This window comes from Homo sapiens, chromosome 10 (assembly GCF_000001405.40).
Source record: "Homo sapiens chromosome 10, GRCh38.p14 Primary Assembly".
NCBI classification, from domain to species: domain Eukaryota; kingdom Metazoa; phylum Chordata; class Mammalia; order Primates; family Hominidae; genus Homo; species Homo sapiens.
The window spans coordinates 77,301,244-77,317,428 of record NC_000010.11 but is presented as its reverse complement, the minus strand read 5'-3'; the positions used below and the strand labels follow the sequence as shown (position 1 = coordinate 77,317,428).

Sequence of the window (16,185 nt, the reverse complement as noted above, 5' to 3'; positions counted from 1 at the left end):
ACTTCAATGAATTCCCTTATCTTCCAGTCTGGAATGTAACCACAAAAGAATATCAATGAGAGGCATGAGTGGAGCTGGCTACAAATGAAACGTGAACAAAATCTTGGTGGAGTGCAATAGGGTTTCAGCAAGAAGGATCCCAGGTTGCACTTCCCAGGTGGAAGTGGGTTCCTTAGACTACATTCGGTGAGTCAGGTGGTCACCTGTGGCCAAGTGGAAAGACCCTTCAAGGCCAAGGAACCAGACAATGTCTTCAAGGCAGTCTTGAGTTATCCTGCTGGGGCCTGGCAGTTGGCAGTCTAAGTGGTAGGGGGTGATTGGGAAGGCACTACAGGTACGTGACGCTGTGTGATAGAGTCAGGAGCAAGGAGCTTTGGAAGCTTCTAGCGCCAAGGCACCTTCAGTCCATTATAGAATGTCCAGTGTCCCCATTTTATGAATGAGGGCATGACCCAGAAAGAAGTCACTTGTCCAGGGTCACACAGCAAGTCAGGGTCGCAGGGCTAGAGCTAGAATGCATATCTGGCTTCTCTGACCAGCAGTCTTTCCCCCAGACCATATCCCTACTTTCCTTTATGTGGTTAACTTTAATTAAGCTCTTTCTACCTACCAAGCACACCCCTAAGCAGTGGGTGTCCTCCTTTGACCTTCATAACAATCTCGTGAGAAAGATCCTCTTGGTGCTTTGGTTTGACACTTGCATCTTGGGGATGGGAAAGTTTAAATGACTTGCCTAAAATTATTGGCTGAGGTGGTGGGTTCAGGGTTCCAGCATAGATAGCCAGCTCTAGAGCCTTGCTTGTAATAAGCAGGCTAAACCAATGCTTCTCAAAGTGGGGTGCCTGGAGGAGCAGCGTTACCTGGATCTTAGAGGTGCAGATTCCTGAATCAGAAACTCTGAGGGTGAAGCCAACCCTCTGTGCTTGAACAATCCCTCCAGGAGAGTCCCGTGCAGGCTCAAGCTCAAGTTTGAGTTGGTCTAAACTACTTAAGCTGGTAAATCTTCTGTATTTTACAACGAGTCTTCCTTTTCATGCTTTGTAAACCAAATTGCTGACTTCCCAAACCTGAGGACATTTCCAAGGTCATCGTTACCTCTCAGCAGCCCATTTTCAGGTGGCCTCTTTTAACTGTGGGATTCTTTAGGAAGACTGAGATTGGCACAGGTTCCCTGCTGCCCAGCAGGGCTCCTGAGCTTGAAGACAGCAAAATTGGTGTTGTTGAACCTTCTGTTGGCCAGAGGGGATTTTGAGAGTCCTGTCTGCTATCACGTGGACTTGGAAAATTTGGTCCAGTCAAGTGGAAAATTAATAAACCAGAAAGGAAAGGGACACAGTATTCAAGACACTAAATGCTCATTGCAACCAGGGAGCCTCCAGGTTTCTAAGCATTGCTCTTCTGAATCCCACACTGGAGATATTTTCCTCTTAATTCAATAGATGTTTATCTTGCGCCCACCAATGCTGAGTACTTTGCTTAGCACTGGGAATATAAAGATGAAGGGATGTGGTCCCTGCCCACAGAGAACCCACAGTCTAGAATGATTATGTGGTGATGGGATCCTCCACTGGGGAAAATGCAGTGGCTTTTACTTGATGCAGTTTATGATGTTTGGTTAATAGAATGTCACATAAAAACAAATCCCCTGATTATCCCACTGCCAATGGGTGGCACTGCATTCTAATAAAGGCAGCACTTCTTTGGTGGTGTGGGGGAAAAGAATTGCAGCCCAGTGCAGGAGAGCCTGATGAAGACTTTATTATTTAATGAACCATGTCATATGAACAGCTGTGGTGTAAACCAGCCAGGACAATTATGCAAGTTGGATTATGTCTCCAGTAAATTGATGCTACTTTATTTGATTAGGTTGGTTCTCCAAAGACAAATTCTTCCAAGTTGGGTTGGGGGAAAAAAATCACCATTCTAACTTTGCTTCTGACTTTCAATCTTCAGATTGCTTTTGCTTTCTAATCCTAAGAGGAAACAAACACAAGATGGCAGCTATGTTGTTATCATCAACAGAACCGAGAATAATCACGTATCTGTAATAGTTATCAGCATGCTCTGTACGAGACTCACACTGTCTTTTCTCAATGAGCTTGCCTGGGGGGCAATAAGAGACAGGCAGGAAACTGTGACCATTCCTTTGTGAGTCCCCAAAACAGCCTGGCTGCAGCTCACTAAGCCATTGTCTTCCTTTACACACAACCAAACGTAGGCACATGGCTAAATAAACATAATGAAAAGAAATGGGCTTGGTGTGAAATTCTTCCCAGATGCCCTTCCCTGCCTTTTCAGATTATTAGGTACTATCTAGTTCAGTGTCACTGTGGGTCATGGTCCATCAGTAGCTTGTGAAATCTATTTAATGGGTCATCACCAACATCATAAGAAATGAAGCAGAATAGAATAAAACATCATAGTACATCCCATTATATATAGTAAAGGTAAACATTGCTTCGTGTGTGTGTGTGTGTGTGTGTGTGTGTGTGTGTGTGTGTGTGTTGGGGGTGTGGTGGTGTCTTCTGAACCATGTTGTAAAGTACATTTCTTCCTGAGGGTTGTGGTCAAAAACATTTGAAAAATACTATTAGTTCAAGCTGTTTATTCACAGACGAGAGGGCAGGGATGATGAAATTACCCTGCTAGGTGGATGCAGGCTTTTGAACAGATAATGTGAGAGCTTTTAGGAAGAGAGTTGGTGAGCACCAGGAGCTAACATGGGTTCACCTCAGCCATCACCCAGACAAGCTTCAGACCAGACTCAAATGTGATGGTCTTCATGCCACACACCAGGGGTCATGAATGGGCTGGAACTTACATAAACACAATCAAGATGGATAACGAGCAGGTACAAAGCAACATCTTAGGAGCAATTGTTAGGATAACTAGAACTATTCCTGCTCTTCTCCAAGCCATTCAGCAGGGGCGCAATTGACATTCTAAAATCTTTGAATGTTTGTCATGTGGAAAATGGAATCGATCTCATCTCTATGGCCCCAGCACTTAGATGGGTGTTTTGATCTAGGAAACATTTTCTTTTTCTTTCTATAACATCTCTGATTTGCCCTAATTCCTGCAGCCAGACAGTCTGTAAGTGAAACAGGCTGCTTCTGGATGAAATTCATTTCCTGTAACAAGAGGGGATCAAAAAGGAAAATTATTTGTCCCTGATGTGGCCTCTGAGGGCAGTGAAAATCACTGGATGAATGGTTAGATTCATCAGTGGCTTTTGGCCTTAAGACACTGTACACCCAATAGACACACACTCATGCCCTGCAAGTACAAGCCTAATTTTCCTGTACTCACCTTTACTACATGTGATGTACTTTGATAGTTTCTATTCTGGAATATTCTATTATTTCCTGCTAGTTCCATCTCATTCCATCCCACTCCACTCCACTTCATTTCATTCCATTCTCATTTCATTTATAAAATGACGGTCAGGACTCATGAAACTGATCTCATGGTCCACTAATAGGTTGCAACCTGTGATTTTAAAAATACCAGATTGGGTTATATTCAAATTCCCTTTAACCCCCAAATCCTGTGAGTCCAATGTAAATTGCTACTACAGTATTAGGGTACAAAATTCTGTGCACAGCAGGCTCACAGATAAAGTTTTTGACAAACTGAAAACCATGTGTTATTAATTCACTTACTCATTGATTCACTTCCTCATCCATCCCGTTCATTACTTACCATGTGCCAGGTACTGTGCTAGGCCACATTGATATAAGGTAAATAAGACACAGCCCCTGTTCTCAAAGAGCTCTTGGTTACAGGGACACTGATTAGGTTTCCTGGGGTTGCCAGGATCCTAGCATCTGCTTTCCCTGAGTTTCCTTGGAAGGAAGGTCCCATGCATGACACATCCTGTTCGCTGTTCTTGGGTGACGTATGTAGCCCTAAAGTCTTGGCCCAGTAGCAGAGAATTTCACATCCTTCAGTAAATAAAAACCAAAGTCAAAATGAACATATGCTAGAAAACAGAGACTGGCAGTGCTGTGAAGGCCCTGTCCCCTCATGGACTCTGTCGTGAGTGGCTTAAGGGGAAGAGAAGTGCTCCTCTTACCGGCATCAGGAGCCCTAATTACTGTTGTATATTGATTCCTTTCTTCCGCAGACCGCTAATCCTGCAGAGCAACTTGCAGGGCATAATAATTGGGATTGCCCAATGCTGGGAGCTAATCAGATTTCTTATGTGTAGACCAGCTTTATGCTAGCGTTTAAGGAAGCTCCTGATTCAAGCACAGAAATGAACTGTTTAACCATTTCCGAGCCAGAGATGAGCCATCACAGACCAACGCGGAGTCTGATAGGTTAGGGGTGAATTGCGCTGGAGAGGCTGAACGTTTCTTAAAGTCCACTGGCAACAGGAAGTCCTCAGAAGTCCAATTTGTTGTTGTTCCTCCCTGAACTTCTGGATTTCTGAGGATGGTTGTGAGAGTGGCCGTGTGTCAATTTTTAAATCATGTGGTAATTTGTCCATGATTGTTTATTTTGTCCCCCAGCAAGATTGTATACTCCAGAAAAGGGGTAGCTGACCTACTAGGTGAAATCATGCTGTAGTTCTGAGTTGCTGCTTCTTCATGCATACAATGGAAACAAGTACACCCCCACCAGGCTCATGTGGAGGGCTCAGTGACTAACCTGGCCCTCAGCTATCCCCTGCTACTCCCATAAAAGCTAGCACTGGGCATGTGGCTTGTACTTCCAACAATGAGTACTCCCTTTTCTCCCCTAAATCCAGCCCTGGAAGCATTGCCGTGTTTTTATGCCTCTTGGCATTCTTTATTTTTTGAGACAGAATCTCGCTCTGTTGCCCAAACTGGAGTGCAGTGTCACGATTTCAGCTCACTACAATCTCCGTCTCCCAAGTTCAAGCAGTCCTCCTCTCTCAGCCTCCCAAGTAGCTGGGATTACAAATGTGCATCACCATTCCCAGTTATTTTTTGTATCTTTAGTAGAGATGGGGTTTCACCATGTTGGCCAGGCTGGTCTCGAACTCCTGACCTCAGGTGATCCGCCTGCCTTGGCCTCCCAAAGTGCTGGGATTACGGGCATGAGCCACCGCGGCCGGCCATCTCCTGGAATTCTTTGTCCACTTTTCTGTCCTTCCTCTCTTCCCTTCTCTCATGCTACACTCCTCTTTCCACTTTTGGTCAATCAGCCAAAATTACAAGTACTTTTCCAAACCTTGGGGTATTGGAGTCCATGGCTCCTGGCTGCTGTGCATGGTTTCCCCTTTTCCTGGGAAGCTTCTGTCCCACTCCCTGCCCCTCACCTCACCCTAGCACTCTTCATACCAAACAAAATGACCTTTCTGGGTGTTCTCCCTGGAGTTCCTTCGCTTGCGCAGTCATAGCAGGCTAGCGCCTAGTGGGCTGTGTGCATCTGAATTGCAGGTTGAATCCAACAACATCAGTGAGGTGGGAGGCAAGTGGCTGGGTGCGGTGCCATGACATTCTGGCTCACCTGTCATGTTGGATGGCTTGTGTGAGCCCCAGGAAACCCGTGCACCCTTAGGAAAGCATGGGATAGATCTCCTGAGATGATTTCAGAGAAATGACAGCAGACCATTGTGAGGGAGGCAGCATGACTGGGGGAATGGATAAGGCTTAGGTCCCTGAGAGGCAGATCCACTCCAGCCTTGCGGAATGTCATGCTCCTGCAGAGGGCTGCAAGAAGAGGTGAACCCATTCCCAATCACTGGCCAGGTTAGACAAATCATTGGATTCTGGGACATCAGAGCTGAAATAGCTTTATTGGATCATCTCTGGCCCAGCTCGCTTGCTCTCTCTCTCAATCTCTTGATCTTTTTTATTTATTTATTTTTTTAAATGATAAAAACAAAGTTCAGAGCTGGGGCATAACTTGTCCAAGGTCACTGAGAGCTGTAACCATCAACATGTGGGGCAGCAGCTGCCTGGGTTTCAAAGAAAGGGGACTTGCTGCCATTCCTCCTCCCCCTAGTTGCCACTGTCTTCTCATGGGTTTCCTTGTCCTTCCCTGGTGCCGAGAAGCAGGGAGGAGGGAGCATCTGTTGCCATGGAAACAAGCCTATAGTATGAGTTCGCTCTCCCCAACTGGCTGTGGTTTCTCTGACAGGGGCTGCTACTGGTCCTGCTGTTGGGCCCTAATGGGGACTCAGGGACCACCACTGTATTTGCCAGGGGAGAAAGCTGGAGGAGCAGCAGACATCCCCTAACATGAGTTGTGCAGGCTTGGTAATGTGGAGTGGGCATGCATTGTGGTGATTCTTCTTGCTTTTTTAAACCAATTTCTCCTCTGCTGGAGACTCTTCACAGAATTTAAGAGTCTTTCTCAGAAGGTGATCAGCCTTGGACAGACTTTGGTCTTCAGACCCCAGAGCCAAACTTTTGAACTGACAGCAGCTGTGGCCAAAAATGGTGTTTGTCAGACCTGCAGGAAGAAAATCTGCAATGAAGAGTTGGAGTGGTAGGAAAAGAGGAAAAAGAGGGAACTTGTTTTGCCTTCAGACATATTTAAGTCTCCTAAGTACTTCAGGAGTTAAAATGGGGCTTTGAAAATAAATAGACTTTTCTGTTCATGTGGGGCTGAAGTGTTCCAGGGTTGGAAAGGGTTTTATTAGGTCATTTCATCTCTCCCTCTGTCTCTGGGCCTATTCTAACCCCTCTTACTTATAAAAATCGCAGAAGAGGGTGATTTCATAAGCTGCCACGACAACTTGTTCCGCTAACAATTCATGATCTTAAAACAATCTCCATAGCAGGGAGAAATTCCTCCTATTTCCTCCAAAGCTCGTCTGTCTGCGGGCCAAGGCTGCTCAGAGGCAGCTGGGGTTTTAAGAAGTGAGCTCTGGACTTGGATTTAATGGTCTTTGTTCAAATACTGTTATTGCATCCTTGAACAAGTCACATAACTGCTCCAAGCCTCAGTTCCTTAATCTGAAGAGGTTAGTGTGAAGGGGAGAAAAAGTAACATATGTTAATGTGCCTAAGATGGTATCTGGCACACAGGAATGCTTGTTAGATGTGTGGTGTGGCTTTGGGCTGACTAGGATCACCATGGTATGGGCACCTTTTGGATCGAGATCTCAGAAATTAACCCTTTGGTTGTTGGATCATGGGGTTGGGATGGGGGATAGGCACTGCAGCAGCAGGGGCAGCTGAGGGGGCACTCCTAAGTCAAGGCCATTGGCTGTTTACCAGCCGGTACAAAAGGTTTCAATATTTGAGAGACTGGTTTAGTTGTACTAGTGCACGCTGTCTAAATTATCATCCCTAGTGGTTCCTTCAAAGACGCTAAGCACATTCCTGACTCCACTTCTTTGTTTATGCCACTCATGTCCCCCCATGCCTTCAATGCCTTTACAAATCCTCCCAACCCATGAAAATCCAACTCAAATTCTGCCTCATACATGATGCAATTCAGCACCAAACCCATAAATCTCATGCCCCACAAGCTTTATCCAGGCTGGAAGAGAGAAGAGGAGAGGTTGTTTCTGTGTGGCTGATTGAGCTGTTGGCTGACTCAAGCAATCACAGAGCCTCAGGTATCATTCAACCTGCAAATTATAGATGAGGAACTGAGACCAGAGAGGCTGTGGGACTCATCCCAGGCCATCTTAGTCATCAACAACAGGTCTAGAGCCTTGGTCTCCTGACTCTCTGCCTATACTTCTTGTCCATGACTGAGGCTGTTCCTTGAGCCTGGAATGAGAACAGAGTCGTCCCCCACCCTACCAGCACTCCTCCTACCCAGCACTTGCTTGCTGAGTCACACGGAGGGAGGTGGGTAGGGGGAAAATATATATTTGCCTGGAGAACACACCAGTCTGGAAAAGTGAAGCCAGCCAGGTTCAGTGTGGGTGGAGTCTCCCACCAGGGATCCCACCCTAGCACTAACCAGGGTTGAGGTGCTGGGGAAAATGAAAAGCATTGGTGTCTTTCTGACCCACCTAGGTGAGTGACCAACTTTAAGCCATGTGTCACAACGTGGCGGTTTTACTGTTTATTAGAACCTTGCTTGGCTTAGCTTTTGTAGAACTTGGCTTTTAAATAGAAATTCCTTATACTAACTTGTTCTGCTGTCAGGGAGATGCTGGCCAGCCTCGAAGCACCTGGTATATAGAGACATCTGGAGAGCGTACTTCAGGCTGGGAGGCTTTGAAGTAGATGGTTGTGGGCTCGTGTGTACATGTATGTCTATGATCCCCTTTGCTGGCTGCAAATTCTGTCATCACATCATGGAAAAATTCTTCTTAAGGAAAGTTGCAGGTGCAAAGATGCTGATGTTGGATCAACCGAGGAAATACAGTTTTGGTCACAAAAGTGGTATTTATGCACTCTGCCGGCACGTGGTTGGCCCAGATGGCGAAAATACTGTTGAGATGGCCGGGCTCCTTTGGGTAAGGGAAATACAGGGCTTTAAGAGCAGTAGGGAACAGTGAAGGATAGAGAAGCTTGATGCTTTGGAGCTCACAGGATCAGAGTTCAAATCCTGACTTGGCGGCCATTTTAGCTGTGTGGCCTTAAGCAATTCTCCAGCACCTTGAGCATGCTTTATGGGTAGGGGCTCAGTGTTAATTTGGGATTCTTTCTCATGAGGATCTCAAAGATAACTGTAGCTGGGTATCTCAGGGGAATATGGCCCACAGTTTTGAGTCCTCCAGCCTCAGACATCAGAGTAGACTCAGGGCAGGTAATGTATGTGTGATGGTGGACACACATTATCTGCATGGCGGTGGAGAAACCTGCACATGAGTGATCCCTCATGCTGCCATTTTGGTCATGTCTCAGTGTTAGGAAACTTACAGCTGCTTTGCTTCATTTCCTGACAAGGCGGCAGCTGGAATTGTCGACTTTGCTGTTATCTGGAACAGCTGCTGGGATTTAATAGTGCACTTAGAGGAATTACCTGGAATCACAGCAGGCATTATGAAATGGGAATGCATTTCTGTAAGCCCATCTAATGTTTGAGGGCAAGAGAGCAGGGGCTTTCCCTCCATAGTGAGTGAGACATAAAAGGGACTGGTTTGTCTGGGATGTTGCCCTCAAGATGAGCAATCATTTCATCTGGGCTATGCTCAGCATGGCACTCAGCTTGGGCAGTGTGTGAACTTCAGTGACAAGGTCTGCTTAGGGGACCTATTTTCAGATCAATTGCTCAAGAAAGCCACCATCTCTGGGCACCTGGGGAGTGACAGCCATCTTGGCTAGGACTCAAGGGCAACTCTAGATAGTTCAGTGCTGAGCCTGTCCTCCCACTCACTCCTCTCTGTTGGTCTGGCATCACCAGACTGGCATTTTCCTCTCTTCTGGGCCCAGTCAATTCACTTCTTTCTCTGATATTTAGTAGGTGCTCATCTACAGCACCTTGTCGCTGGGTATGCTGTGCTTATCTTAAGGTGGCTTAAAGTCTTTTTGGAAAACAGGTTAATGAACATGCAATTATTAGACAACAATGGCAGCCTAAGTTGTGATTCCAAATTGAATCTAAGCAAGGTAGAATGAGATGCTTCTCAACGTACAATGGTGTTACATCCTGATAGCCCATCATAAGTTGAAAATATCATAAGTTAAAAATGTGTTTAGGCCGGGTGCAGTGGCTCATGCCTGTAATCCCAGCCCTTTGGGAGGCCGAGGAGGGTGGATCACGAGGTCAGGAGATCGAGACCATCCTGGCTAACACGGTGAAACCCCGTCTCTACTAAAAAAATACAAAAAAATTAGCTGGGCGTGGTGGTGCGCGCCTGTAGTCCCAGCTACTTGGGAGGCTGAGGCAGGAGAATGGCCTGAACCTGGGAGGTGGAGCTTGCAGTGAGCCAAGATCGCGCCACTGCACTCCAGCCTGGGTGACGGAACGAGACTCCATCTACTGAACATCATGGCTTAGCCTAGCCTTAAACCTTAAATGTGCTCAGAACACTTACATTAGCTCATAGTTGGGCAAAATTATCTAACCCAACACCTATTTTGTGATAAGCGTTGAACATTGCATGTAATTTATTGAATATTGCACTTAAAGTAGGAAACAAAATGGTCGTATGGGTACTTGAAGTACAGCTTCTTCTGAATACCCATTGCTTTTGGAGTATTGTAAACTCAAAAAATCATAAGTTGAGCCATTGTAAGTTGGGGACTGTGTCTGCATGTACAGGGATGATATAAATGCCCTTGGAGCTTGGAAGAGGGAGAAATTTCTGAAGGCCAGAAGAGACTGGCTTTGGATGAGCTATGTAAAACCAAAACCCTTGTAGCCTTGTTGGGATTCAGGGAGCCATGCCCCTTCTGCTGATCTTGCAATTGATGACCTTTGAACTGAGGCAGTAGTAGAGCTTGGGTTAAATTAAAGGAAAGGGATTCTACCTCATGTGTTCTTTTGCAAGTTGAGAGTGTCAACTGGTCTGGGGATGACTTGAGCTGCGTGTGCTATGTTGCACTGGTGAGGTGGTCACTTGACCTCGTACCAATACTGGCTTCTGAGTGGCTTCCAGGTATTGACCTTGGCTAATGAGATTGGATTCAAAGCATTTGCAAGTGCCAGTAGGTCAGTGATCACCATTATCTACTGTGCACCTCCTAAATGCCCTGCCCTTTTTGCGTAAGCTGGGTCTGACAGCCCTAATCGGTCCTACCTCCTAGATAGCACTGTGGCCCATTTATTCTTACCTAGTTCAGGCCACCATCACTTCTTGTGTAGACAACTGCAATAGTGTCCTACAAATCTGCTGACATTCCCTCCTAAACACCCCCTCTCTGTCAAATCCATTCTTCTAACTGCGGCTGGTAGAATCTTTCTAAGATGGTTTTCTGATCATGTTAATTCTTTTCTTAAAACTCTTCATTTATTTCTATTGCACTTGGAAGAAAACCTAATCTTATTATATCCTATATGTGTTGTCTGACCCAGAATTTTTGTCATTCTTTATTTGATACTCATGTGGCTCAACTGCAACAGCAGCAAACAGCTGGGCTCTACCCATGTGGATCCCTCTACTTGGAATGTCTCTCCTCTTCTCCCTTTCCCCACCTTTTGCTTAGCCTCCACTTACTCATCCTTCTTGGGCATCACCCCTACCAGATCAGGTTAGCTGCTCCTGTTCCACAGCTCATAGCTTGCTGTACTTTCCCTTTGCATTCCCTAATGAACCCCCATGTGTTATCCATGTAGTTTTCTGTTTAGTGTCTGTCTCCTCTTTCCCTTTCAGGGACCCTTGCAAGGTCCCTGAGGGCAGAGACCACCCCCATTTTGTTGGCTACTGCTCAAGACCTAGCACAGAAGCCTGCAGCTCAGCAGGCTCTCAGGGCATGTTTGTAGAGGCAGTGGCTGCTTTGGGGTTTCCAGAGCTTCCTTGGGAGGTTTCTTCTGTGTGTCCCATTGACCAGAGCACCACTGGGGGTGAAGTGAGCCCCAGACATCTTTAGGTTTCCATCTTTAGGTGAGCTTTATGCCCAGGCACGTAGCAGAAGAAACTGTTTCTACTCATAAACCAAGCAAATTTATAGTGGAAATCAGTGGGAGAAAATAAATATGAATCCCCATGATGTCATTTTATGGGCTGCTTTATAGATTGTAATCACCCATTTAGAGTTTGCAGGCTATTAATTTTGTTTGCGCAGAGCCTCAGGACTCTTGGGGACAGAATTTACAGGGCTGTGGTGTCAGACACGTGGTTCTAGGTCTTAAACCCCTGAAAGGTTTTGGAAAGAGAATGACAGGTAGCCTATGGAGCAGCTGGGGCTTAGGGCTCTTTCCTCTAGCTTTCCTCCTGGACATAGTTTTAAAATATTTGTTCACTGTTTTATCATCTTAATTTTACCCTAGTCTTCAGGCCTGTCCTTTCCGTAAGCTAGGTGACTATGTGGGTCTTGCATTAAACCTTTGGTAGAGAGAGCTCCCCTCTGAGAACCTGAAGAGATGTAAAGAGGAACAGCACAAGGTCAGAGAGAACTGGGTAGAATCCAGCTCTACTCCTTGGCTTGTGATCTAGAGCCAATTTTCATTGTTGTTGTTACTTTTTTCAACCTTCGTTTCTTTCTCTATAAGTTGAGACCCATGCCCTCAACCTCAAAGGGTGATTATAAAGATAAAGAAGAGGAAATAGGAAAAGCATTTGGTACTCAAAATGAGTTATAGTTCATAAAATGACTATGACGATTGCTGTTTTAAGGTAAGCTGATAGAGTGGGAACACAGTGGAAACTAGGAGTCAGGGCACCTGGTCCCAACCCTGTCACTGATGTGCTGGGTGATTTTGGACATACTAGTTAGCCTCTCTGGTCCCAAATTCTTCATTGGTGAAATAAAATGTTTGGCTCAAAAGATTTTCAGACATGGTGCTTCTCAGTGTGGTCCATCGACCACCATCCCCTGGAGACTTGTTAGAAATGTAGATTCTCAGGTTCAGCCCCAGCTCTCTTGGCCCAGCAGTCAAAATTTTAACAAGCTCTCCAGGTCTCTGGTGGGCATAGTGAAGTCTGGGAAGCATTACCTTGGTTCTAGCACTCATGTCCGATATTGACTTCCCAAGCAGCAGTCACCTCTGGAGCCTTCCTCTTTGGGGTCTTGGACCGCAATGGCCTTTGGCAAGGAGTCTCTGCTGGATCTGTGCTGCACACGGGGTGTGGGAATCTCTGGGCAACCAGAAGAGCAGTAGTAACATCTTTAGGTAACTGAAGTCAATCCTGCCCACTGGGCAAATATTAATTGGTTGCTCAGGGCTGCACTGAGTTCAAATACTGAGCCACTCAGGGGCTTCGAACGACCAAGATCAGGCAGTTTTCAACCTGTGATCCACTTTTGGTAGATTTAAGGCAAAAGCAAATATTTTTTGCCATTTTTTCCCAAATTATTTTACCATTATGGCACGTGTTGCTCCTGCCTAGGAGATGCATTCCCCAGAACCAAGCAAACAAGAAGAAGGTCCTCCTTCAGTGGGCTGTCATCGATCATTCCCCGTTCCATGGCCACAGGACTGACTGCTGATGAAATCTAAAAGACCAGCTTGCAGAAGGCATGGAAATCCTGGGGTTAGGGGCCCCTCTGCTATGGAGGTATGACTCACAGTGGGTCAGGGAACCTGAGTGGGATCATCCCTGGAACTCAGAATCTCTAAGACACACTTATTGGCTCTCTATAAGCAATAACAGATGGCAAGATAATATTATTCTTCTAATCTTTTGCTAAAAACATTCAGTCATTTCTCAGGGGCCTCCCTAGTAGAGGAAGACACCTGCAGGGTATCTCATTCTTTCTTGTTCTCATTTTCCCTTCTACCATTTTCCCCTTAGTATATTTCTGGCCCTATGTGCAGGAAATCAGGTAGCTGAGGTGTGGTTTAAGGGACCCATTGTGGTTCTTATGGCCCATCAACACAATTCCTTCGTGTTGGCCTGCAGTATCCATGTTTGTTACCCTTTTGGGTCAAGGCATGAAAACATCTGTCCACAATGCCAGTCTTACCTCTGATATCAAAGATAGTATCTGAGACGGGTGATAAACAAATTTAATGTGAAAAGCTGATGATGTTTTGAAGTCAGTAGAGGACGGAGCTGACAATGAGCGTCTTGCAATGAGTCTGTTCTCAATTTCATTGCTGATAAAGAGAAACAGTGTAGTGTGGTGGCGAAGAGCACAGACCCTGAAGCAAGAATCCATGGGCTCAAATTCTGAGTCTTTAAGTCTGTGGCCCAAGAATTCACATTTCTAACTGACTTCCTGGGTATGCTGATGCTGCTGGTCTGCAGGTCACACTCAGGGTGGCAAGGTCAGGCAAGGTCAGAGCACAGCATGGGAGGGACTGTGCTGCCTGTAGTACACAGTGGAAGGTGGAGGAAGCCCAGGGGTGACATGGCTTACTTATATCATCTATGAGTTTTTTGTTTCCTTTAGGAAATTTACTGAAACATTCTTCATTGCAAAGTATAAAAACAAATATAAAATATTCAATGGGTATTAGAAAATCAGGTATACTCTGTTTACCTATGGGTTTTTCTAGAATGGGGTTAAGGGTGGGAAAGTGATGGGAGACTTAAGTAGTAGAAGTCTATCAGAGGCCCCTTCAGATTAGGAAATGCCCTCAATGGGCTTCAGTATCCTTTATGAGATAATGCATAAGTGAGTGGACCCTGAGGAGAGGAGAGAAGAACAAGACCTTCCCCTAAGGACTATACAAGACATGTACCCATGGAAAGATGGATGCCATGATACAGTGACCCTGTGAGACAGTACTGGTGGAGTCAATATGAATAATGGGAGAAGGAACATTCACTTCTGTCCACTCTTCTAAATGCCATCGTAAATGAGCTCATTTAGTGTTCAGAGCAGAGTAGGTATTATTATTTCCACCTCAAACATGGAGAAACTGAGGCCAGAGAGGTTAGTAATTTTCCCAAGGCTACACAGCTGGCAAGTGGTAGAATGGGGATTTGAACTCAGTGATACAGCAGGAGGTAGACAAATCCCTAGGCAAACACAGGTGAGTCCCCAGTGAAACCCCCCCCTGCAAACCAAAGCCAGTTTAAAGTCTGAAAGCCAAGCTACAAGTCTTGGATAAATCCACAGACTGGATTGAGAACCTCTCTTCCCATTTGGCATGCTTTCCTCTGATTAACCCCCACCTCTTCACCTATACCCACCCTTCCCCAATTGGTTTTTACACTGTTGCCTTTTTTTGCATACTCACAGACCAATCAGTATCCATCCCCTTTCTGAGCCCATAAAAACCCTGGACTCAGCCACACTGGGACACAGAGACTACCTGACTTTGGGTGGTAGACAATTCTCACGTCCCCTCTCTGCTGACAGCTGTTTCATCAGTTAATAAAACTTTTCACCTTGCTCACCCACTGGCTGGCAGCATAACCTCATTCTTTTTGAATGTGGGACAAGAAATTGGGACCCTGGAGAATGTGGGGGCTGAACAAACAGTCATGGTAGCTGTGAGATCTGCACCGGAGTAGTCAGGGTGTCTCCTACAGTGGGCCTGGACCCGAGCAATGCTTGTAGGGGGAATTGGCAGCTGCAAGTCTGTGGCCCACAGAGTGACCAAGAAAAACTGCATCATCAGGACTGGCCACAGGACACCATTAATTAAGTGCTTAAGGAGCAGTATGGGGGTGGGCAGCAACCCAGGGATGCAAAAAAGAGAGGATTCTCAACCAATAGCTCCTGGAGCTCAGAGAAGCAGCCCCTTTCCCAGGTCTGGATCCATGGATTGGGAGCAAGTTACTCCACCATTTGGTGGAAGGAAGCTTGGAAATCAGAGGGACCAGGGCTAAGTCCTAGGTCTGCTGTTTACTATCTTTGTGACCTTATGCGAGCCTGATTCTAATCTCTGTCTCCCCACTTACTGTGAGAAGGAAGTTAAAGGAGATGGCATGTGTAAAGGGCCCATCCAACATGTAGGACATGGCGCACCCCTAATATTTGGCAGCTTGTCTCCACTTTGCCCATTCCTACTCCCAAGCCTTGGAGTCTGAGATGAGAGGTCACTCCACCTGGCTTTAGTTGGGTTTGTTTTGAGTCCCCATAGGCTCTCTGGGACTCTGCTTTCTGATGGGTTGAAAACATTAGGCTGTTGTGAGATGCTTCCATTACTGTGATCTAAAAGCATCTAGGATGCCTAGCGTAGCTTTCTCACTGGATTGCCAATTTCTCAGAGAATTAAACATTTAGTGCCCAATCAGATATTTTTCTATCTGCATACATGTGGAAATGTATGCTTACCCACCTCCGGGGCGTCAATTGAAGTGCAGTTGAAGCCAACTCACTAATTCTCCAGTGCATGGTAGAATCTTCGTGGTTGGTGAAATGAGTCATGTGTATGATTTGATGGACTGTATCTATGAAAGTAGAAGATGGAGAGGAAACAAGGTCTGCCATAAAGAAAAGAGCTTGGTATGGATGCAAGAGGAAAAAGAAGGGGGAAATATAATCCTTCAAAAGTCCATCAAGTTTACCTAGAAACAGATTTACTTAAAAGTTTTGAGAAATTTATTTCTGATGATGATCCTTATGAGTCACTATTTCTTATGGAATCAAGCCAGCATAAAAGTTATCTTGCATTCTCAGCATAGCTAGTTTAGAGAATTAGGTCATTTGTAAGTCAAAAGATTTCTACAAAGTTCAAAATAAATAAATTCCAGGTATCTGAGCTTAAGATGGCTGGGAAGAAGGACTCCATTTGAGGCAGGTT

The 16,185-nt window shown here is 45.6% G+C and overlaps 1 protein-coding gene across 56 annotated transcripts in view, besides 1 other annotated feature; it reads left to right on the top strand.

Moving 5' to 3' along the window:
* KCNMA1 (potassium calcium-activated channel subfamily M alpha 1) overlaps positions 1–16,185 on the top strand; it is a 768,207-nt gene that overhangs the window by 320,380 nt on the left and 431,642 nt on the right. Inside the window, exon 2 of one of the 56 annotated variants that reach the window (NM_001322838.2) lies at positions 12,875–13,042. The exons of the other annotated variants lie outside the window; for them this stretch is intronic. The gene's annotated coding sequence lies outside the window, so the exon portion shown is untranslated. The remainder of the gene's footprint in view (positions 1–12,874; positions 13,043–16,185) is intronic. 56 annotated transcript variants of the gene reach the window in all.
* Positions 2,598–3,145: an enhancer, noted in NCBI's record as "OCT4-NANOG hESC enhancer chr10:79074042-79074589 (GRCh37/hg19 assembly coordinates)". NCBI's record gives its function as "activates a minimal SCP1, AML or CMV promoter by ChIP-STARR-seq in naive H9 embryonic stem cells {active_cell/tissue: H9 hESC(naive)}" and the evidence as "EXISTENCE:reporter gene assay evidence [ECO:0000049][PMID:30033119]".